The following is a 24,056-nucleotide window of genomic DNA, read 5'->3' as shown; positions in this document are numbered from 1 at the left end:
TGTGCCTTCTTTGTTTTCTTGGTAATTATTTCCTGAGGTATGTTGATTTTATTAGTTCTTTTTTAAAACCAATTTGTCCTTCGTTGATCTCTATTTTAGTTTTCTTATTTAATACATTTCTAGGTTTATCTTTATTCCTCCTTCTTTTTTTCATTGGAGTTAATGTTATATTTTATAACTTCTTGAGTTTGGTAATTATCTCACACATTTTCCCAAAAAAGATATTAAAAGCCTTTAGGGTTTCCTAAAAAAGATGTCTATGCTGCTATCAACATATGTGTGTAGGTTTCTGTGTGAACACAGGTTTTCAGCTCCTTTGGGTAAATACTGAGGAGGACAATTGTTGGATCATATGGTAAAGATGCTTAGACAAGTATCTTTTCTAACATAAGCATTTAAAGGCTATGTATGTCTGCCTGCATTCCTATACATATGTGAGTGCATGTGTGCACACACACGTACACACACAAACTCACACCACACATGCTAAATGTTTTTATTCACATTTAGATATCCAGTTTTCCATATATTTATTTTCTAGTGGAATGAGGATGCATTTTTTCTATATCTGTATCTATATCTATATATTGGGTAAGACTTGTTAACTGTGTTGTTCAAAACTCCTACATACTTACATTTTTTTTCCCCTTGTTACACTATCAATTACTAAAAGAGGTACATTAAAATCTTCTACTGTAATTGTGGACTTATCCAGTAAACTTTAAATTCTACCAATTTTTCTTCAAAGCAATTTTATTAGATATATACATGTAAGATTTGTTATATATCCTTAGTTTTAAAAAATCACTATCACCTGACCTTATTTAACCTTAATTATACTTGTTTTTCTTACTGTGTTTGTGTGGGGGGGGGGTGTTGTAAACATAGCCACTCACATTTTATTTTTGTTCCTGTTTTTGTTTTTCCTTTTTTGCGTTCATCCTTTACGTATATATGGTTTAGTTTCATCTAAACAGTCTATCGTTCGATTTAAATGCATAGAGATATATTGGGGAGATCTGTGTTTTAACCAGCTGGCCATCCCATTTACTTTTATCTTGTCTACTGTAATATTTGTTTTCATTTCTACCATCTAATGTTATGCTTTTGACTTCTTCCTCCTTGGATTGCATTTAGGTTTCTCCTGTTTTCTTTTTTTTTTCTTTTTTTTTTTTTTTGAGACGGAGTCTCGCTCTGTCGCCCAGGCTGGAGTGCAGTGGCGGGATCTCGGCTCACTGCAAGCTCCGCCTCCCGGGTTCACGCCATTCTCCTGCCTCAGCCTCCCAAGTAGCTGGGACTACAGGCGCCCGCCACCACGCCCGGCTAATTTTTTTGTATTTTTAGTAGAGACGGGGTTTCACCGTGTTAGCCGGGATGGTCTCGATCTCCTGACCTCGTGATCCGCCCGCCCCGGCCTCCCACAGTGCCGGGATTACAGGCGTCAGCCACCGCGCCGGCCTTCTCCTGTTTTCTTCATCCCTTCCCCATTCGACCCCTACTTGTTTGGAAGTTAAATATAGTATTCTTAATGTGTCTGGTCTGGTGGTTATTCTCACACTTTAACCTTGTATATTTCACTTAAAGCTGACGTCTCCATGGCCTTCCAGAGTCATATAAGTACACCTGAGGGTTTTACCTCCAAGCACTGTCCAAGTTACTATTTCATGCTATATTTTCCAGTATTTTAATTCCATCTTTTTTTTTTTTTTTTTGAGATGGAGTCTTGCTCTGTCACTCAGGTTCCAGGTTGGAGTGCAGTGGTGCTATCTCAGCTCACTGCAACCTCTGCCTCCTGGGTTCAAGCGATCCTCCTGCCTCACCCTCCCAAGTAGCTGGGACTACAGGCACATGCCACCACGCCCGGCTAATTTTTGTATTTTTAGTAGAGATGGGGTTTCACCATGTTGGCCAGGCTGGTCTCGAACTCCTGACCTCAGGTGATCTACTTGCCTTGGCCTCCCAAAGTGCTGGGACTACAGGCATGAGCCCCTGCGCCCTGTCCCACTTTGTTTTTAATACTCTCAAATTCATCATTATTATTTTATATAACCAAATCTGTTTACATGTACCTGAATCTTTGCCAATTGCTTCGCTCACTGCTTCTCATGCCTAGTTCCTAAACGTCTTCTGGTAGTTTTTTAAAATAGTAGCACAGCCCCTGCACGGTAAACTCCTTTAGTATATGTTTTCCCGAGAATGTCTTGATTTTGCCCATCAGGTAAAGAATGGTTTAGCTCAGGATAAAACTCTAGGTTGACAATTATTTCCTTTCATACTTAAAAGACGTTATTTTCGTTTATTTTTCTGGCTTCTACTGTTGCCTTTAAAAGGTCTGCAGTCAGTCTAATTGCCATCTCTTTGTTAGCAAGCTATCTATTTTTCTCTCATCGCTTCTAGGATCTTTTTTTGGCTTTGGACATTCCTGCAGCTTTTTTGCACAATATGTCTTGGGCTCATTTCCTATCACATATCTTTCCTCAGACTTTTATCTCCTGAAGCTGAGGATGTATGTTTTTCATCAATATTATTACATCCTCAGCTGTTCTTTTGGGACATGGCTTCTGTTGAAAAAAATCATTGTATTTCAATGGAAAACGATGTGTCCCCTACAGCACATAGATCTCACTTAGCAAGTCTCGCCCTGTTCACTGTCTGAGCTGCTTTGCCACTGTGCGCGGACCGTAAGCAGCTGATAGATGCGGAAGTTCTCAGTCGCCCAGTAGTGATTTAATTGGTAGTGCCTTGACTTCCTGCCCCTTTAGATAAACAAGTTCTGTGTCCATTTAGAATTCATCTCGAAATTCCTTTACTCTATATAAATTTGTACTAGTTTGACTTTCCCATTGAACTGAGAACATCTGCTTTGTTTCCTCATGTGATATGAGTCAAATAGATTCTTCAACATGCTCATTTTTATATCTGTATGTGAGCCATAACTTTACCTGTTTTCTGAAAATAATCTTTTAATATTTCTCCCACATGCAATTTATTATTGCCTTCTACTATTCTAGCCAGTGTGTATGGGAGCACCTATCCCCGGCATGAGAGGAAGCAGCCCTCCTTGTCAGGCACAGCCTCTCCTGGGGGGTGCAGGCTTCCAGACCTGCTTTCTGCATGACCTTGGCCACAGTGTGCTCCAGCTGTCATATCTGAAAATAATCACAGCGCTTTCCTCAGAAGGTTGTTAATATATGTAAAGCATTTGAAACAGGACCTGGTGCACAGAAGCACTACAGAAGTGTTGGATATTATTGCACGACCGTAAATCATTCTTTCCTACTTTCCATCTATTTAGCTTTCTATGATTCACGCAGGAAACTGCCTCTGCTCCTTCAACTGTGTCTCATCTGACATTCTATGCCTCCACTGTCTTTAATTTTGATGGCTATATTATTTCTCATCTCTCTTAATTTTACTTGATTCTTTTCAAAGTTGCTTTTTAAAGGGTTTCTCTCATTTGTGTTTTTAATTCTTACTTGAGTGTAATTATTTTCAAATCATTTGTCAGTTTCTATTGTCTTAAGTGTTTAAGAGTCCAAACCTGCCTTTTGCTATGTTTGTGAATGCTTGCTCAAAGTGAGATGTTTCTGTATGTGTTTTAATTTGAAGTTCATTTTTAGCTGATTTTTAAAAATTGAGTTTCCATATTATTTCTTATAGTGTTTCATTCCTCATACAGTTTTCATCTGTAATGTTTTCTTAAAAAAATTAATGAAGGCTAAATGGCACAAGAGCTTAAAAATATAGATGCAGGCCAGGTGTGGTGGCTCACGCCTGAATCCCAGGAGTTTGGGAGGCCGAGGAGGGCGGATCACCTGAGGTCAGGAGTTCAAGACCAGCCTGGCTAACATGGTGAAACCCCATCTCTACTAAAAACACAAAAATTAGCCGGGAATGGTGGTGGGCACCTGTAATCCCAGCTACTCAGGAGGTTAAGGCACAAGAATTGTTTGAACTTGGGAAGTGAAGGTTGCAGTGAGCCGAGATCCCGCCACTGTACTCTAGCCTGGGAGACAGAGCCAGACTCAGTCTCAGAAAAAAAAAAAACACACAAAAAAACCCACATGTAGTCACAGGGGTGGGACAGGATGGATGTGGAGGGAGGAGGACGCAGGAGAGAAAGGGGCAGAGCCCTTGGCTGCCCTCTCACAGCATTGCCTGCACACCTGGCCTCACACCTGGACACTTATCAGAGCATGGAATATTTGTCAGGCTGCAGAAAACCCATGTCTCAAACCCCAATCACCATCTGCAGAGCATGTTCATGGCACATGAACCTTGCTGACTGGACATACTGGAATGAATCCCCAACCTGTGTTGCTACCGTGTCTATGGAGATCCTGTGGACCTGGCCGGAGGGGGACTTCTCTCCAGGTGCCCTGCACTCCATTCTGCCAGGTGCCCAGAGCCTCACAGATCAGACCACTTTGCATGCCACTACAATTGGTGCTGGAATTTCCTGGGTTCTGCTGGACATATCAAACCAGCACCAGGAGGCACCCCTTCCCTCATCTGTTGTGAATTCCCATGGAAGACTCTGAGCCCTGACTGAGCACAGCCTAAAACAGTCATGCTTCTTTTTCATCGTCTTGCACTGGATGGTAGATTTTATTTTTTTCAATTCCAACTTCTCAGGGAGAATGCAGCATTTTGAAGGTCCTGGCCTTCTCAGTTCCAACCCACCTCGTACAGGGCAAGAGGGCAGAAGCACGAGTTTTACTCCCGCCTTCTTGGGTAATGACTTTTGCGACCCAGGATGGTTGACTGAACTCCCAGGGCCTCGTGTGGGAGAGAGCTGGGCTCCACGGGCCCCACCCTCCTGCCTGCTTATAGCTTGTAGCCTGGGCATTCCTTCTAACAGTTTTACGTAGCCTAGATAAATGGACGTGAAGGAGCTCATGAAATTTTTTAAAAAGTATGTCCATTTCTAAACTATGTGACCTGTTATGCCTTTTCTGGCTCCAGATGTATGAAACAAAAGAAAAAGGAAGCTAATTATCCCCAGCAGTGGAAGGAGAAGATGTTCTGACACTGGGATTACTATGCACACAAGGACTATTCATCATGGGTGGAAATTCATCCCTATGAGGAAAGGGTCACTTGGAGACACAAAGGTGAAGGGAACAACATTGCACCCTGCCAGCTCGTCCCCCAGTGACAATGCTGACTGGGCAAACAGCCAGCCTTGAGAGCCTCCTACACAATCGGATGCCCAAAGTCCACACCAGAGGTTCATTGAAAAATGATCAGGCTGATTTTTTAAAGAGCTTTTCCTTCAGATTGAGTGAAGAAATTGACCAACCTTAATCTGAATAAATATAAAGTCTAAATAAACTAAGCATATGCTTTCAGAAAAATGCCACTTGCTATGACAGCATAAATACAAGAAAAACGATAAGGAGGTAATACGGCTAAAAACGATAAGCAAGAGCTGACCAGGGTTAAATCAGGTCACAGGGGTAGAGCCCTATTCTGATAGGACTGGTGGCCTTATAGGAAGAGGGAAGCCAGCACGTGCCCCTCTCTCTCCCTCTCCCACTCCCTCTCTCTTTCTCTCTGCCATGTAAGGACACAATGAGAAGGAAGCCATAAACCAGAGAGAGTTCTCTTCAGGGAACCAAATCCAGACCCTTGATCTTGAACTTCTCAGCTCCCAGAATTGTGTGAAAATAAATTTCTATTATTTAAAGCCTCCCAGTCTATGGTATTTTGTTATGACAGGCTGACCTGAGTAATCATTATTACTCTTGCTAAATATGACTAAGAAGTCTTCACATAATCCATAAATAAACATAAGAAGGCTGTCAACAGTTCAGAGAAGAAGGCAGAAGGGATCACACCTTTGTGACAGGCAGAACGGCATGGTGCTGACATCCCTAGGTTTACTATTTATCTTACCTATTCCAAACTGGGTTCTGGAGAAGAATGCACCAAAAAAACCCCAACAGGTACAGACCAAAGAAGTCCTGAGGAAAGCTTGCCCTCTCTCGCCAAATGGTCAGGAGAGAAGCAGCCTGACAGCTGGACCGTGTCTAGCCAAGAGCGCTGCCCCAGGGAAACACCAAAGGAAAAAGCTGGACTCCACCAGCAGCCTCATCAGCAAAGGCCCAGGGAGCACTCTAGATTCAAACATCCCCAGGCAAAAGGGAGACACTCCTCCCCATACTTGCAAGAGGTGATGTCAGAGAAGGCCAAGCAGTGACCTCATCTTGACCCAGCCGCCTCCTGCTGTTTCAGTGGAGAACACTTGGGGAGCCTGGACTTCCACTCCCACCTAGCAGTACCAAGGTCCCCATCCCTCCCAGGTGTCAACAGAGGCTGAGTGGGGGGCCTGAACCACACGACAGCAGGGGTGGTGTCCTCCCTCCTCTGCTAGCACAGTGTCAGAGGAGGTCTAGTGAAAAGGAACACTGAAATAAGACTTGGAGTCTCAAACAATAATACCCAAAATGTCCAGGATATAATTTTAAAAATCACCTGTAATACCAAAATCAAGAAAAAAACCTCAACTTTAATGAGAAGAGAAAATTAGCAGATGCCAAAACAGATAATTCAGAAAGTTGGAATTCTCTGGATTTTAAAACCTCAATCATAATAATGCTTTGGTAGGCAATTAAGAACATGTTTGAAACCAGTGAAAAAATAGAAAGTCTCAACAAATAAATAGAAGATATAAAGAAAAACTAAATGAAAATTTAGAACTGAAAAATACAGTAACTGGGATTACCAACATGTAGGCTGGGCTCAATAGTAGAGTGGAGATAGCAAAGGAAAGAATCTGACTTGAAGACAGAATAGAAATTATGCAATCGGAGCAACAAAGGTAAAATAGACCAAAAAAAAGAAAAAAAATCGACACAGCCTGCAGGGGTGTGAAGCCATAACAAAATCTGATATTTGTGTCATGAGAGTCTCAGAAAAAGAAGAGAAAGAAAATGAGAATGAAAAATGTTTGAAGAAATTATTAAAAATTTTCCAAATTTAGCAAAAGATATACATCTACAGATTCAAGAAGCTGAGTAAAACCCAAACCAGATAAATACAAAAAAATTAATGCCAAGAATCATCATAATCAAACATCTAAAAATTAAACACAAAGAGAAAATCTTGAAAGCAGCCAGAGAAAAATGATCCGTAAGGGGGAAAAACAAAACTAAACAACAACAACAAATTTAAATGACAGCAGAATTTTCAACAGTAACCACGGAGACCAGCAGGAGGTGGTATGACAGTTTCCGAATGCTGAAATAACTTACTGTACACTCAAAATTCTAAATCCAGTTAAAATATCTTTCAGGAATAATGAAGAAATGTCAAGACATTTTCAGATGAAGAAAAAACTAAGAGAAATAGTGACCAGCAGAATCACCCAAGAAGTATGGCTCAAGGAAGTTCTTGAAAGAGAGAAAAAAACAATAAAAGAAGGAAGAGAAAATTTATCTACTTTACTTGAACCAGTAAGATGTTTATATCAGTAGTCAGTAACGTAATAAGTTACATACATAAAATGTAATATCAAGAGCAACCATGAAATAGGTGTACAAAGAGACATACTCAAAAACACTATAAATAAAAAAGATTCTAAAAATTCTAAAAAAGAAATTCTAAAAAAAAGTTAAGTACATCATAGGCAGGAAAGAAAAAACGAAGAATATATATATATAATATATATATATCACAGACACACATACCCTGCAAACATTACTCAAAAAACACAAGAGTAACTATATTATTATCAGATAAAGCAGATCTTAGAGAAAAGAAAATTATGAAAGATAGATATAAATTTACATAATGATAAAAGCTCAGTCTACCAAGAAGATGCAGCAATCATAAATCCTTTCTCAAACAAGAAAGCTTCAAAATACATGACCCCAGAACTGATGGAAATTTTCAAAAGATATAGACAAGTTCACAACTATATTTGGAGGTTTCAACACTCCTCTCTCAATAATTCATGACAGGGCAACTAGACAGAAAATCAGCAAGGATATAAAAGAACTTACACCATCAAACAACAGGACTTAATTGGCATTTAGGAAACTGTCTACCAACAAGTACTCATGGAGCATATACCAAGATAGACCATATCCTGAGCCTAAGAAAAACCTCAATACATTTAAAAGAAGTGAAACCACACAAAGTGTGATATTTGCCCACAATGGAATCAAACTAGACATGAATAGCATTAAGATGACAAGAAAATCTCCAAACACTTGGAAACTGAATGCCAAATTGCTAAATAATCCATGAGTCAAAGAGAAAGTCTCAAGGAAATGGAAAAAAATACACTGAACTGAATAAAAATGCAATGTATCAATATGTATGACATGCTGGTAGTGCTAAGAATAAATTTATAGTACTGCTTATTTTAAGAAAGAGAAAAAGATTCAAGTCTATATCTATGCTCACTCGGTAAGAAACTAGAAAAGAGAAGACAAGCCCCACAAGTAGAAGGAAGTAAATAATAAATATAAAAGTATAAAATCACTGACACGGAGAAGAGAAAAAAAAGAAAAAAAAATCAATGAAATGAAAATCTTCTTTGAAAATATCAATAAAATTGACAAACTAATACCACGAATGTATTCTATGTGTCACTACACAGACATTGTAGACATCAAAAGAATGATGAGGAAAGCTATGAACAACTCTTTACATAGAAATTAACACATACATTTAGCAACTTAAATGAAATGCACCAATTCCTTGAAAAGTACAAACTACCACAACTCAACCAATAGGCTATAAATAAGCTGAAGATCCCTAAAACAATTAAACACATTGAGTTCATAATTTTAAATGTTTTTTAAAAAGGTATCTCCACATCCTGAATGGCTTCGCTGGGGAATTTTAACAAACATTTAAGGAAGAATTAATATCAATTCTATAACTGTCTCCCAGTAAATAAAAAAGGATAAAACACAGAGGCTTTTATTAACCTCATAACCAAAACTAGACAAAGACAGTAGAAAAAATTTATAAAATGCAAAACAAAAACTACAGACCACATTCTCTCATAAATATACATAAACCACCCTTAATAAAATATTGGCAATACAACTTAGCAGTATATATAAGGAATTACACACATGACCAAGTAGAGTTTGTTCCATGAGTGTAAAGCTAGTTCAATAATTGAAAACTGATCAATGTAATCTACCATATTAAGATGCCAAGGAAGAAAAATCACCTGATTATATCAATTGATGCAGAAAAAGCAAGTAATAACACTCAACACTCATCCATATTAAAAAGTCTCAGAAAACTGGAATAGAGGGAAACTTCCTCATCCTGATAAAAGCAATTCCACAAAAAACCTACAGCTAGCATCATACTTAATAGTGAAAGACTGGATGCTTTCGCCATAAGATCAGAAACAAGATAAAGTTGTTCACTTTTAACATTCTAATTCAGCATAATACTAGAAATCCTAGCCAGGAAAGTAAAGGAAGTAAGAGGCCTAGAAATCAGAAAGAAATTTAAAAAGTTACTATTTTCAGGTGACATGATGGTCTATGTGGAAAATCCAAAGGAATCTCAAAACAAAAACAATTAAAAAAAAAACTGCTAAACCTAATGAGTAAGTTCAGCAAGGTCAGAAATACAAGATCAACATAAAATAATTGCTATACTAACAGTAAACATGTGGTTACTGAAAATGCAGTATCATTTACAACTGGTCAAAAATGAAACAAATATAAATTTAACAAAACAAGCATAAATCTCACATGTTGAAAACTACAAAATACTGATGGAAAAATCATAGAAGATTGAAATAAGAGGGACATACCATGATCATGGATTGGAAGATTCAACATAATTGTCCCTACGAGAACCTGTAGGCTTAACACAATTCCCATTAAAAACCCAGCAAGAGTTTTGTACATATGGATACACAAAGTCAGTCTGAAATTTATATAAACAAAGAAACTAAAATAGCTAAAACAATTTTGAAAAGGAACAATAAAATGGGAAGAAACACTCTACTCAATGTTAAGCGTTACTATACGATGAAAGCAAAAGACTATAATAGAGGAAGAGATATCTAGATTAATAAAACAGAATTGAGAACCCAATAGTAGACCCACACAAATATACCCAACTGATTTTTTCAAAGCAATTCAGAAGAGGAATATAGTCTTCTCAATGAGTGGACCTGGAATAACTGAAAATCCACAGGCAAAAGGATAAACTTTGATGTAAATCTCAGATATCATACCAAAAATTGACATCAACTTAAAGAACAGACTTAAATGTAAGACTTAAAAATGTGAAACTTTTAGAACAAAACATAGGAGGAAATCTTCAGCACTCTAGGCTATGAGTTCCAAGACTTGACATCAAAAACACAATCCATCAAAGTAAAATTTGATAAAAAACTTCACTGTAATTTTTAAAAAGAACATGTTTACTCTGTGAAAGACCCTGTAAAGAAGATGAAGAGATAAACTACAGAAAGACAAACTATATTTTCAAAACACATATCTGACAAAAGGCATATCTAGCATAAAGAACTCTTAAATCTCAAGAGTAAAAATAAAACAAACAAAACCCCACACAATCTAACTAGAAAACGGGCAAACAGACATGAACATATATTTCAATGAAGAGGATATACAGGTGACGAACCACCACATAGTAAGATGTTCAACAGCATTAGCCACCAGGAGAATGTAAATTAAAAACACAATGGGTTATCACTACACACCTACTAGCGTGGCTAAAATAAAAAAAATAGTGATAACACCAAATTCTGGGGAGGATGCGGAATTACTTGATCACTTAGGTGGGAACGGCCACTCTGGAAAAGAGTATGGCAGTTTCTTATAAAATGAAGCATCTGCTTATTATACAACCTAACAATTGCGTGCTTATGTAATTTATACCAGACGAATGGAAACATCTTCAAAAACAAACAAACATGGACATGGATGTTATAGAAGCTATGATTGCAATAGCGAAAAACTGAAAACATCTCAAATATCTGTTAATGGATTAATAGTTACACAAATTGTGGCACATCCATACCACAGACCACTACTCAGCCACCCTCAAAAGGTTACAAACTATATTAGTCTACACATAAAATATTCTTGAAATGCCACAATGACAGAGATGGATTAGTGTTTGCCAGTAGTTAGGGACAAGCGGGATGTGGCTATAAGGGTATAGTGCAAGAGATCTTTACAGTCGTGGAACAGTTCTTTATCTTAATTTGTTGGTGGCTACATGAATCAATACATGTGATGAATTTGCTTAGAATTATATATACTACACAAAAATGCATGAATGTAAAACTGGTGAAATCTGAATAAACTTTGTGGAATATACCAATGTTAATTTCTTGGCTTTGATATTACACTAGAGTTATTTAAGGTGTTACTGCTGGGGAATATTAGGAGGAATATGAAAATGTACCTCCCTATAATTTTTTTTCCATTTCTTATGACCTATAATTATTAATCTGTTAGAAACATACTAAATCCAACAATGGTGAACTAGAAAGTATCATCTCTATGAATTATGTCACTATTAAAATGATGATGAGAAAAACCCATGGAAAACAGGATGAGTGAAAAATGCAGTCCGTCTAACCACATAAAATATATTAAGTAGATGGACTGAAGGAAGATATATAAAATGAAATTTAGCAGTTTAGGGAGCGAGGAACAGAAATTAACCAATTTGACTGTGTCGTGGCTACCCATCTTGTTCTTTTGAAATACGAAGGCTTCTTTCTTTGCCTTGCCCTCAACCTGAAGTCAGCTTTCATAATAAATGAGGCAGAGTTCAACAAAGCCAAGATAAAGAGATTGTGTCAATGTAGACTTAAAAGTCAGAAATAAATGCAAACTACAAACTCAGATGCTACCTACCACAGGTCTTTATGAAGCCATGAACCCACTGGTAGGGACAAAACATTTAACTAGCTCATAGTCATAACCTTTAGAGGCACCATCTGGAAGTCAATAAAGTAGAATCCATACTACGTTCTGCTTACTAAGAACATCAAAGGAGCTATGTTACAGGCACAACATATTTTGCCTATTAACTACAAAATGCATAAGTAATTCTGTAGTGATTCACTAAAGTTCTCTAGCATTAATGCATCCCTGGGAAAATGAGAAGCACAAACTAGGTATCAGGGAGAAGCATTCATTTGTCAAAATGAAGTTCTGGATCATTTTTTTTTTTTGCTATCAGCTACCAATGGTGAGAGCACTATTCATCATTCAGTTGGTTTTCTCTGGACAGCAGGAGGGAGACAAGCATGTAATTGAAGGAAGTGTATGGGCTGAAATTCATGACTTCCAGCCACCAAATACCTCCTAGTTTCCATCTAATTAAAGGAATGCAAGCTGGCATTCATGCCCAGCAGGACAGAGTCTTTCACAAGTGATCCAGGGGGACCATGTATGACCGATTCCTGAGCTGTACTCCACACCTGCTGTATCAGACCCTGAGGAGGTAAAGATGCAGTTTCCATTGTTAACAATCACTCGGCAGCTTCTTAGCCAGAGCAGATATTGGAACATCGAATCAGAAGAGCAAACCAGGCAAGCAGGATCTAGATCCTGCACATGGAGCCCAAAGCACTATCTAAGAACTCCCTGAGCAGCCTGAGAGTTTTTAAAGCTCTTTCCGATTGTCCCCTCTTGACCCCAGAAGACTGCAGCGGAGCGTCTCTAGAGTCTACTAGGCAGCCCGGGCACAGCAGTTCTAAGTCCTTGACTCTGGGACCCCAGGCAGTAACCCTGCTGCTACTCCAGGCTTCCAACACATGGCCCAGCTGCAGGGGAAGGAGAGCTGGCAGACCCCACATGCTGCTTCCTGACTCTTTTACTCTTTCAGGTGCTTTGGTGAATTTTTATCGTTTTCCTCAGAAGGGTTTGGTGCATGGGCACCAGGTTGATTCTTTGGTATTTTATGGTTATCATCATGAGTGTAAATGAGGTCTGTTCTTTCCATTTCACTTCACTGTTCTTCACTCACACCTAGCTCAGCTATTGTCTTCTTTCTTAAATCTTTTATTAGTTCAAAGTTTGTCAGCTGCGTCTGCCTTTAGGTGACTAACCAACTGGAAGTAATGATAGTGTTTTTTCTTTCTCGTAATATTTAGATATCTTTCTTTAACTTGCTGTCATAGGGCTCCGGCTAGGGCATCCACCCGGCAGTTGAAAGCAGTGATAGCTGTTGTCTTAGTCAGTTCTGGCATTTATCTTCCACAGTTCTGGAGCCTGTAAGTCCAAGATCAAAGCACCCACGGATCTGATGTCTGGGGAGGGCAACTGTCCTGGTTTGCAGATACACATCTCCTCCTTGTGTCCTCAGATGGCCAAATAAGCAGAGACAGGAAGAAAGCCCTTGTGTCTCTTCTTATAAGGACACTAATCCCATTCATGAAACTCCACCTTTATGACCCAATCCCCTCCTAGAGGCCCCACCTTCTAATTCCATCACCTTGGGGGTTAGGATTTCAACATACTAATTCTCGAGGGGACACAATCATTCAGTCCCTAACATTTCTCATCTTTGCCTTATCTCTGACTTTGAGGTGGATTCACCTGACTTTTCAACAGTCAGCTTTGTTTGCCAGTTTTCTTCTGAGTAATATTTATCTGCTTATGAATTTTCTTCCAGTCTTAGTTTATTTTTTGTGAATATTACTACTTTTGGGAAATATTTGTTAGATACAAATCTTTCTATATATCTTCTGGGTTAGTTTTAACCACTGTTTTATTTCATTCCATGTAAGCATACTTACCCTTTCTTGAGATCCTGGTTTTTGTTAATTTCTCCTTTGACTTTCATCAGCATTGACTGTATTTTTTGCAGTCACACTGCAACATAATTATTCATGAGCACTTTGTTTTCTCAATAAATTTTCCTTTAATCAATATAAAATATTCATTTTGTCCCTTTTTACGTATTTTGTCTTTCATCTATATTTGTGAAATAAGAACAATGCTAAATCTGTTTCTTCTTATGGCATTTGGCAGACATGGTTTTTCGATCCTTTTCATTTCAACCTTTTGGATTATTTGATTAAAATCTACCTTCTGTATATACAATATAGTTGGATTTTGATTTTTTGAAACCCATCTAGGAGTCTGTTTTGGTTTGAGAACTGTTATGGGATTTAAATCCATTTGAATTTTTGTGATTAGTGATTGTTTTAACTCGTTTCTGCTAGTAGGTTTGTTTTCTGGTTTTTTGTAGGCTGTTTTTTTTTTTTTTTTTTGGCCAGATTTTCTCATGTTAGAGAAGAAATGCTCTTCCTCTACCCTTATAGATTCTTTTGGCGGGGGGGAGCTTAGGAATTAAACTGACAAAAGACAGATGAGCAAGAGAAAACTGACTTTTATGCCTACATGGGCACAGGGGCACAAAGAAAAATGCAACTCTTCAAACAGCTAAAGGTGAGATTATATACTGCACAGCGGAGAGAGAGGGGAGAGGAAGGGCTTCTATGAAAAGAACAAATCGGTTTCTAGGGGAGCAAATGGGAGATAAGAAGGTCTGTGGGAAAGTTTTGTTTATGCAGGTGCAACTGGTCTTTTCCATCTTCTTTCCAGCCAGTAAAGACTCCCCTAGAAAGGAGATTTATGCCAGGCTCGCTCCCAGAAGTTTTTGCTGTAGTCTGATAAGTAAGCTCTGAAAAAGCTTCTTTCCCTATCTGTTTAATCTCAAATGTCTTCAGTTTAAAATAATGTTCATACCCATGCCAGGGATCCATGAGAGACCTCATACTTACACTGTTTCTCAGTTTTCTGTTCTTGCATTAGAGGTATCGACTTCAGGTTTTGGTCCCTTATTTTATCTCTAGTGGTCTGGAAGTTATGACACTATTTCTGTTACTCTGATAGCTATTCAAATATTTAACATACATATTTACTTGTACTTTTTTTCATTTTGTGCATTTAACGAGGTTTATCTTTATCATGCATGAACCAAAGAAGGCCGACACCAAACGTCTGCTGTTACTTCTTCTACTTCTTAGTCCCCTGCCAACAAAAACCATTTAACAACATCATCAAATAATTAGACTGAACTATGCCTTTTAGTGATTCCATCACTCACGAGTGCTGATTATATTCCAGGTTTGCCTCTTTCTTGGTTTCTTCTCATTTTGCTGGAATACAATTCTGAGTAATTCTTTCAGACTTGAGTCTTTACATATTTAAAACTGCTTTCATTTTTGCCCAGAAAGTTCAGTTCAACAAAATATTTTATTTTAAAAATAATTGCCCTTCAATATTTGAAAGTAGTCCTCTACTAGGCTACTGTTTCTTGCTATTGTGATTTTTTTTTTTTTTTTGCTTTGAGAGCTTATAAGGGTTTTGCCTTTATCATGAGTGTTTTAAAATCGCAGCAAGATATTCAAGACATATGTCTCTTTTTATTCACCCTGCTTAGCTCTCAGTATGGTATTGGCACATGCATAAATGAATATAACCATCCCACTTCAATGCCATGGGGAGAAAGATGTATTGCTCAATAAGTGCTGTTAGAATTATTTTCTATCCCTTAAAGAAAAGTAAAGTTAGACCCTTACCTCATAGCATACACAAACATTTTAGGGAAAAAAAACCATACACAATAAAAAACAAACTATTTAGTAGAATAAATGGATAGTCTCCTGGTCTGGGACCCCAAAGCCATAAAGGATCCATAAAGGAAACAACACAAAAATGTGATTAGCTAAGGATGTAAAATTTATATTAAAAAAAGACCACAAATAATGTGAAAAGATGACTAGAGTAATTTCAAATGCATAATCCTTCAAGATAGATTGGTATGGGTAGTGGAGGAGAAAGGAGAATCATTTCTAGACTAATTTGCTTCTCGGGATAGGACCCATACCCTACATCCCTGCCCCACACAATCAGAACTTACTTATTTTTAATCTAAGGGTGCTAGAAGATGGCTCTCTTGATCCAGACAGCCTGAGTTCCAAGGTTCTGCCCAGGTTCTGGCCTCCAGCAACTCCCTCCTGGAACAGGGTAGTGGCCCCACTAGTCCCTCACCCACTGCGATGTGCTGCTTGCCATGTGCTACTTGTCACACTAACTTGGGGGGATTACAAAATGTGAATAGAACTTGGTTGCTCCCAAGGAGCTCACTGGACAGTGGGGAAAAACAAGAGTATCAAACTCACATCCGCAGCATCGTGTGATGTTTACAAAGAGTCCTCCAAGGTACACAGCAGCCCAGAGTAGGCGACTGTGGCCAGGCGTCAGGGACAGATTTCCAGAGAAGTCCAGTTGGACTGGTGGCAATTCCTTAGATTATAGCTAGTCCCTGACCTGATTATTCTGTTCTTTTCCCTCTCCCTTTCATTCCAAGCATATGCATTGAGGATCCTGCCACATTTAGTCCCTTCCAAGGTGATCTCTCCCCCTCCCCGCTAAGGGCCCTGTGCCATATGACCTAACTTACATATCTTTCCATGAAATGCCCCATCTTAAAAGTGAAAAAAGGCACCATTAACAGCAGTGCCAGGACCTCAGGCACAAACCCGGGCTGTCCCAGACAGACCAAGACGTATGGCCACCCTGCCGTGAACAGTTGCCCACACCCTCCCACTGGATGAGGCTCTCTCTCTTCCAGATCTTTCTAAGATGTTATGTCCCTGACATACGTCATCTTCTGCTCTGCAAGATGCACTTTGTGCCCTTGTCTTACAGCCACAAAGAGCCTGTCAAGGACTGGGAAAGGCACGAGGATGTGGAGTCAAGGCCTCAGAACTGCGTCAACAAGCCATTTAATTTCAGGAACCATTTCCTCAATTGTGAAGCAGAGTAATTTTAGATGACTTCACTGAAGGACACAAAAATACGTCAGATGAGACCACCCACGGTAAACTGATTTGCTACTGATTACACATGCCTCGAGGGCAGTGAATGTGCGTCTTCCTAGAAGCACAGTGTCTTACACAGAGTAGGTCCCCAGAAAATACCACCCGGCCGACTGACAGCATCAGCTCCACCGACCATGTGGCCCTGGCCCACAAGGAAAGCTCTGTTTCTCCAGGTTTTGATACAAGCAATGGGGCACATCCAGCTCGGGCCCCACACCCTGCACTGCTGAGGTCTTAGCATGCTGGGGAGGCCCAGCTGCCTTCTGATGCCTCACACACAACTTCCTAAGTCTCCTCCTGTGCAGACAGCTGAAGAGCGCATCTCTAGTGGGCAGTGGACACGCGCAGGGACCCCACAGCAGGCTCGGGAAGGGGCGGGGTGGCGGCGGACCCTGGCCCTCACCTGGCTGCCCGCACTGCTCCCTCAGGCAGCTCATGATGAAGACTGAACCGCCCATTGAGTTCCTGTCTCATGTATTTATCACACAGCCCTTACAACCGTGCTGGCTCTGTGTTCCACATCACAAAGATCAATAAGCTCATCTCCAAAAGCCGTGCTCTTGGGCACGATTAGCTTCAGGGCCCTTGGGGGTGCAGGGGGTTGGGGAGCTGCTCCGTGGACTGGCCCGTTGCCACATGCCAGAAGACAGCCTCACCCAGGCCACCTCAATGCAACACCATCCCCACAAAATTCTATTCACCGCAGCACCTGTCCTCTGCTTGAAATTCTGCTCAAACTCTTGCACAGACAGCAGTTGGGTTCTGTCATTCCACGCTCTGCTGTGGCACTGCCCTGTGGCCCACACTGGCTGGCAGGGGATTTGGTCAAAGAAAAGAAAATGTCAGATGCTGAGTGAAATCAGTCAAGAGGCGACAGTAAACCCCACAGCAGCTTCAGAAAAAGAAAAGAAAAGAAAAGAAAAGAAAACCCCACAGCAGCTTCAGAGAAAACAAACTCACTCTTTTTAGGAAGTGGAAGGCTGAGCCTGGCAGAGCAGCCCAGAGCAGGTGCGAAAGTGGAGCCAGCTCAGAGGGAGGGAAAGGGGATCTCTCTGCTTTTTAACTTTAGAAAATAAAGCACAAGAGACCGAGCTCTTTCCTGATGTGTCGAGAGACTGGCCAGTAATGAGTCAGACTATGGAGTCAGGCAGACCCAGCTGAGTGACCTCGGGCAAGTGGCTGAACCTCTCTGAGCACCAGCTTCCCGCCCTGAGATTTGTGGACACTCAAACAGACTTCATAAAGTCCAGAAAGAAGGCATAAAGCCACAATTTCCTGGCTATCATCTGCTGGCACTGGGCGAGTGCCCAGTAAAGGGGGCTTGGCTCCAGGGTGCTGAAGACCAGGAGCTGCGGGCAAGTAGGCTGAACGCAGTGCATGGGACCTTCAGTAAGCACCGGATGAGGCAGACAGCATTAACAGTCAGCCAGCGACAGTCCACTCACTCTGGTGCAGACAGGTGGGCTCCGAGTTAGCCCGAGGCAAACAGCTGGGCCATCAGAGGCTGATTAAGGACACACACGCACTTGCCCTTCCTCCCTTCCTCTTGCTGAGATGTCAGAAGAAACAACAAAAGCAAAACCTGCCCACTGCCACAGGCTGGGAGGAGTGTACAAGCAGAAAAGAACAGATAATAACTTCTGGACAAAATCACCTGATGGGAATCAATTGCTAACAAGTCAAGAGGAGAATATGAATAAATATTTTTTTTTAAAATGTTCAAAGCAAAAAGGAACTGAAACAAAAATTCTGTCAAAGGTATCAGGGCCTCTCCTGTCTCACAGTCAAAGCCAAGGCCTCCACGACTTGGTCCCCAGCTCCTCCCATCATGTCTCTGACCCTCTCTCTGAACCCTGGCTTCCCCATCCACCAATTCTCTCCAGCCACAGCAGCTGAATTTGCTCCTAGGACAGACCTGGATAGCATGTTCCCGCCTCAGGGCAATTGATGGATTTTTTAAAAGATAAAATCATGACACTTGCACAAATATAAAGTGATCGTGTGTCAAAGACTACTTAAGTCATTAATGAAGGAAGGAACCAGGAAAATGTTAAAACCAATTCTGCAGAGCATCCTAAAAGCAGACACATACAAAGACAACCAGGCACACTGATCTGAATCTGTCAACAGGGGAATTGGTCCACCAGCAAAACACATTTGCTTCTCCGTGGACTAGAATCATTGGTTTTGCCATCAGTTTTCTAGAAGTTAGAGTTGAAAACTAGTTTGAAGACCATGACAGGCACAGTCCACTACAGACTCAGATGACCAGGAAGGTGCCTGTGACCATGCCTAGTATTCTGTAGGAACCGAGGTGTCTTTTTTTCTCTTCCCTCACTATTTTTTTTTTTTTTTTGCATTTCGAAGTCTTTCACAAGCCTTCTTGACAGGGCCCCTGCACTGGCTGTTCCTTCTGTCAGGAACACTCTCTCCACTTGATATCACAGGGCCTGTTCCTTTGCAGCCCTCTAGTCTGTCTCCTGGTCTCTCCCTGACCTCTGGCTCAGCCCTCACTATTCCCTTTCCTGCTTCATTTTTCTGGGATCACCTACAATCTGGCCCATGCCTCCCTCCTCTCTTCCCCATCTCTGTTTCTCTGGTGGGTTTGGGTCTGGCTGGATCACTGCTGAATCCTTAGTTCCCAGAACAGTGTGTGATTATGCTGAGGGAGCCTTCACTAAATATTGGTTGAGTGAATGAACAAATTAAAAACAAACAGCAAGAGCGACCATGATGAGACCTGGGAGAGTGAGATGGACAGTTCGGAGGATGACTTTGAAGATGCAAACATAGGTTGGCTGGCTCCACTCACTGCTTTAAAACAAGCTGCTGCTCCCCCTCTTCCCACAACACATGATTTAGAAACAGCCTCCCTCCAGCTCAGGTGTGAATATCTGATTAATACAGAAGCTGTAACAGCACATCCTCAAAACTCCTTCTCTGAGATCTCCAGCAGCAAAATTACCTCTGCTCACCTGGAACTACTACTGTCTTAGTTTGTTTTCTGTTGCTTATAACAGGATGCCTGAAACTGGGTAATTTATAAAGAAAAGAATTCATTTCTTACAGTATGGATGCTGGGAGTCCGAGGTCAAGGAGCTGCATCTGGTGAGGGCTTCTTGCTGGTGGGGACTCTCTGTAGTGCCAAGGTGGTACCAGGCATCGCATGGGGAGGGGCCTGAAGGTGCTGGCTCAGGCCTCTCTTCCTCTTCTTATCAAGTTATCAGTCCCATTCCCATGATATCCTATTGATCCATTAATCCATGAATAGATTAAAGCATTCATGAGGGCAGAGCCCTCATGACCCAGTTGGCCTTCAAAGGTCCCACCTCTCAATACTGTCATATTAGGGGTTAAATTTTAACACAAATTCTGGAGAAGACAGATATTCAAATATTTGTAAAGGACAAATATTCAAACTATAGCAACCACATCACCTTCCAGTGATGCCCTTGGGCCCTCCAAGAGCCTGGCCATGACTGCATTATGAGCCTTTGAGCACCAGCAGGCCAATCTCGGTTAGGCTGAGGGATACCACAATTTCAGGAGCTATTAACCATGACAACACTACATCTCACAGATTCACTCCCTAAGATGCCATTCCATGTGTGCACTGCCATGACTCCATAATAGATACATCGCAGCCCACGTAGAATAGGCACCCCTTGCTGGGATGCAGGCTTGGGCTCTTCTTTAGTCCAGTGAAATTTGCCACCTGCCTGCCTCCTCTGCTCTGGCTGAGAACACCCTCACCCCTAGGACCCTCAAGTCCTAGGACTCTCTCCCTTCCACCCATATTGTTGCTATGCTCCCTACCAGAAGCTGAGATTGGATCTACAATCAAAGCAGGGTGAAAGCAACTAGAACTTGAGTGGATGGCTCATCTGCGCTGTAGCAGACCATGTCGACAATCATCCTCCTGTGCCCAAGGCCCTGACAGCTGCCTACTGCAAGCATCTGCAGCTCTGCACTTGATCCACACATGGGGCAGGCAAGCCAGAGGTGCCAGGGAGCTGACACCCCTGGAAGCAGCTCTCAGCCTATGATGGAAGGCAGCTGGCAGATAAGCATCCCAGTTTCCTCAGAACAAGGCTGAGATGTGCTATACACAGTCTCCCAGAGCTCCCCAGTAGGAATGGGCTCTGTTTGCCCGCAGTATGATTTGCTTTTCAATGCTCACTCCAACGGCTTGCCTGCCCTCCCTATCTCACTCCCCCTCCCCTCATCCTGCTTCCCAGGATCCCTTCCCAAATAAGCTACATGCTCAGGAATCCTTGTCCTGGGTTGGCTCCCCCAGGTTCCCTAAGACGCTTGGCAACAATGATGAGCACAATTATGAGTGCTTACAGGCTTGGCCACACTGCTCTCAAGTGTGTCCTGCATAGAGGTCCCCTCTCCAGCCTCTGCTATCAGCCACAGGGTCAGGAAAATGAGTGAAAGACACAACCCTGCAGATGACAAATGCAGCTTTGCACACTCAATGAAAATGGATGGCTGAAACCCCATGCTGTTCTAAACTTTCAGAGCCAACAAAAACATCTTTAAATATCTTCATCAAAAAAGATTTCCATTATTGCAATAGAATTTTCTGACCGAGCAACTCAGAAACAGAGAAGCCCAGAGAGGGTGAGGCAGTTGCCTGTCTCTGCACGGTGTAGGGGCATCCGCAGAGTTGCGGGATTCAGACTGTCCTTCTGCAAGCGGACTGCTGATCCCAGCAAGGCCTTTAATTCCATCCAAAGGGGAAAATCACGGCAAGCCATCCATAATTGCTACCCACTTTAGGCAAGATGGTGTTCAGAAAACTCCTTGAGCCGCAGGCTTAAAGTAAAGCAAAATAAAGCAACAAAGAAATGACTGGGATCAGCACCAGACAGAGACGCTTTTATTCGTGCCCATCCTCTCCTCAGAGCGACCTGGCCAGCTGGCTGGCAGCAGCATGACTTGTTACCCACCCATCAAGGAAATACAGCAGCCCATTCCACAAATGATGCAGAGATGGCTGTTTTGCAGTGACCCAGCCACTTTAAAGCATGGAAAATGCATTATATCTCAAAAAGCAATAGTGACTCACGTGGGGACTCCAATATCAAACGAGAATAGAGTGAGAAATAGGACAGACATGTTTGGGAGGCTTCAGCTGAGCTACATCAACACTGCTTTCAAAACTGGGGCTTACACAGGATGCATTTAACCCCCTCCTTTAGGAAAAGCCCCTCGACTCCATTCAGACCATAATGAACTAACAGATGAGTCTACTAAGCAGAACATATTATTTTCCACGCCTAGAAGCTGGCAGAAAGCATTAAATTCGGTATCTCTCAAAATCCCCAATAACAGAATATCAGAGGGTTAGGATATTAGTAGTGAAGACTATTTTTGCTATTTCCTGTGTGAATTTTTGGACTCAGTCTCAGTTGAATGTTTTCTAGGTTGCCTACATGATTTCTTTCCTTTGCTTTCTTTCTTCTCTGGCTGTTCTTAGCCGCACTGTATTACACTGATCCATCTTCTTCGCTCCTCCTCCTAATAATTCCTGCACCCTCCCTTCCTCTCTCCATCTTGTCTTTGCATAAATGTGTATCAAGTGCCCTGCTAGGTGCCCCTAAGAGGTAGCAGACCCTAAGTGCCATCGTGGACAGGAATCCTTTTCTACGTGACAGAGAAATGTGTTCTAGACTTGGCAGGGGTGAGGGTGTCAGGGAGGTTTCCCTTGCTAACTGGGAGTTAAGGGGTGGGCATTCCTCGCCCCGCAAGACGCTCATATAAACACTCTGCCTGGAAGCATTGGTGCATCAATGAGCCAAAGGACAAGCAGTAGGGCTGGAGAGTGGACGAGGCTACAGGGTAGGGATAGGCTGGTCAGCACATACCTGGGGGCTGCACAGTGTGTCCAGGCAGGAAGGGGAAGCCAGCCAGCAAGGGGGGGCAGAGATGACAAGATCTGTCTTGTTTAGAAGCTCTCTCCTCCTGCCTGCTTCTCCTCCCACATTGCCAATTTCAGCAGGCACATGGCGGAGCGTGCCTTCCCCTTCACAATGCACGCCTCTTCTGGTCTTTCGGTTTCCTGGGGCTTTACTTTGACCCTTGCAGTTCCACCGCTTTCCTTCCTTAGCTGTGATCACTAGTGTCCCCAGAGCACCCTGTGGCCTCCCTCTTGCCCTAGATAGGGGTGCTGATTTCCCCTTTCTTGACTCCAAGCTGGGCTCCTGCCTACTCTGACCAACAGAATGTGGAGAAGGGCTGTTGCGGGACCCTCACGCTCAGTCCTTAAGAGTCCCAGCAGCCTCTCCTTCCTTCCTGTCAGAGCACTGCTGGCCACCAAGCTGGGGGACACCGAGCCTTGTGGAAAAGGCCCAGAAGGGGTGGGTGCACAGTCCCCAGCTGAATGGCTGAGCTTCCTGCCAGGGCCGGCGTCCCCACCAGCTCAGCCCAGACCTGCCCCGCTGTGGAAGTGTACCCCTCAGCACATCGGCCCAGTGGAGCCCCAGCCCATGGCTGTGCCCAATGCCACGTGAAAGAGACAACCAGCCACATGGGCCTGGACAGCCCACGGCATCATGAGGAATAATCTGAGTTGTTTGCTTTAAGTCACTCAGTTCTGAGGAGTTTGTTCTGTAGCAATAGATAAGTGTCTATGAGTGGTTTAAATATTCTCTGAAATCTATTCATTCCACGTTGGGTTCATGTGGACCTGCGGGCCATATATTTAGCAGTTACTTCAAAATATATTTAGTAGTTACTTCAAAAAGAAAGTCCTACATTCCATGTCTCAGGAAAACAAAAGCAGAAATTGAAGCAGCCTCTACATCCTCCATGATGAAGCCTGGCGGACGTGGTCTATGTCCACCATGGGAAAGAGGAACGAGCAGGATCCTTCAGTAGAGCTCAACAGATGTGTGAGCGATGGGGTTCTGCACCGGCAGCTGGGTCAGGCATGTGGAGGTGGGGATCATTTCTAAGGGCCTGGACCCTGGTAACATTTGTCAGGTAGAGACTGCTCTATCTTTGCTCCTTGAAATTCAATTACAACTTGGAAATTCCTCATTAGCCAGAGCATTTGGAATCATCAAACATTTTACATTTTGGAGTTAAAGATCCTACACATAGGCCATATAAACTGCCTCTTGTAACCGTGTTAATAAGATTCCACCAACATGTTATACATATAATATGGTGGGGTGCTCTCTCT

General features: G+C 41.9%; 1 protein-coding gene across 7 annotated transcripts in view, besides 1 other annotated feature; it reads right to left on the bottom strand.

Annotated features, from left to right (window-relative positions):
* Positions 1-24,056, bottom strand: part of CHRNA7 (cholinergic receptor nicotinic alpha 7 subunit) — a 142,536-nt gene that overhangs the window by 34,809 nt on the left and 83,671 nt on the right. The window lies entirely within an intron of this gene.
* Positions 5,931-6,131: a silencer, noted in NCBI's record as "peak2289 fragment used in MPRA reporter construct". NCBI's record gives its function as "represses an SCP1 promoter by STARR-seq MPRAs in K562 erythroleukemia cells {active_cell/tissue: K562}" and the evidence as "EXISTENCE:reporter gene assay evidence [ECO:0000049][PMID:32103011]".

This window comes from Homo sapiens, chromosome 15 (assembly GCF_000001405.40).
Source record: "Homo sapiens chromosome 15, GRCh38.p14 Primary Assembly".
NCBI classification, from domain to species: Eukaryota; Metazoa; Chordata; class Mammalia; order Primates; family Hominidae; genus Homo; species Homo sapiens.
Note: the sequence above shows the minus strand (reverse complement) of the source record. Positions and strands in the feature narration are given on the sequence as shown.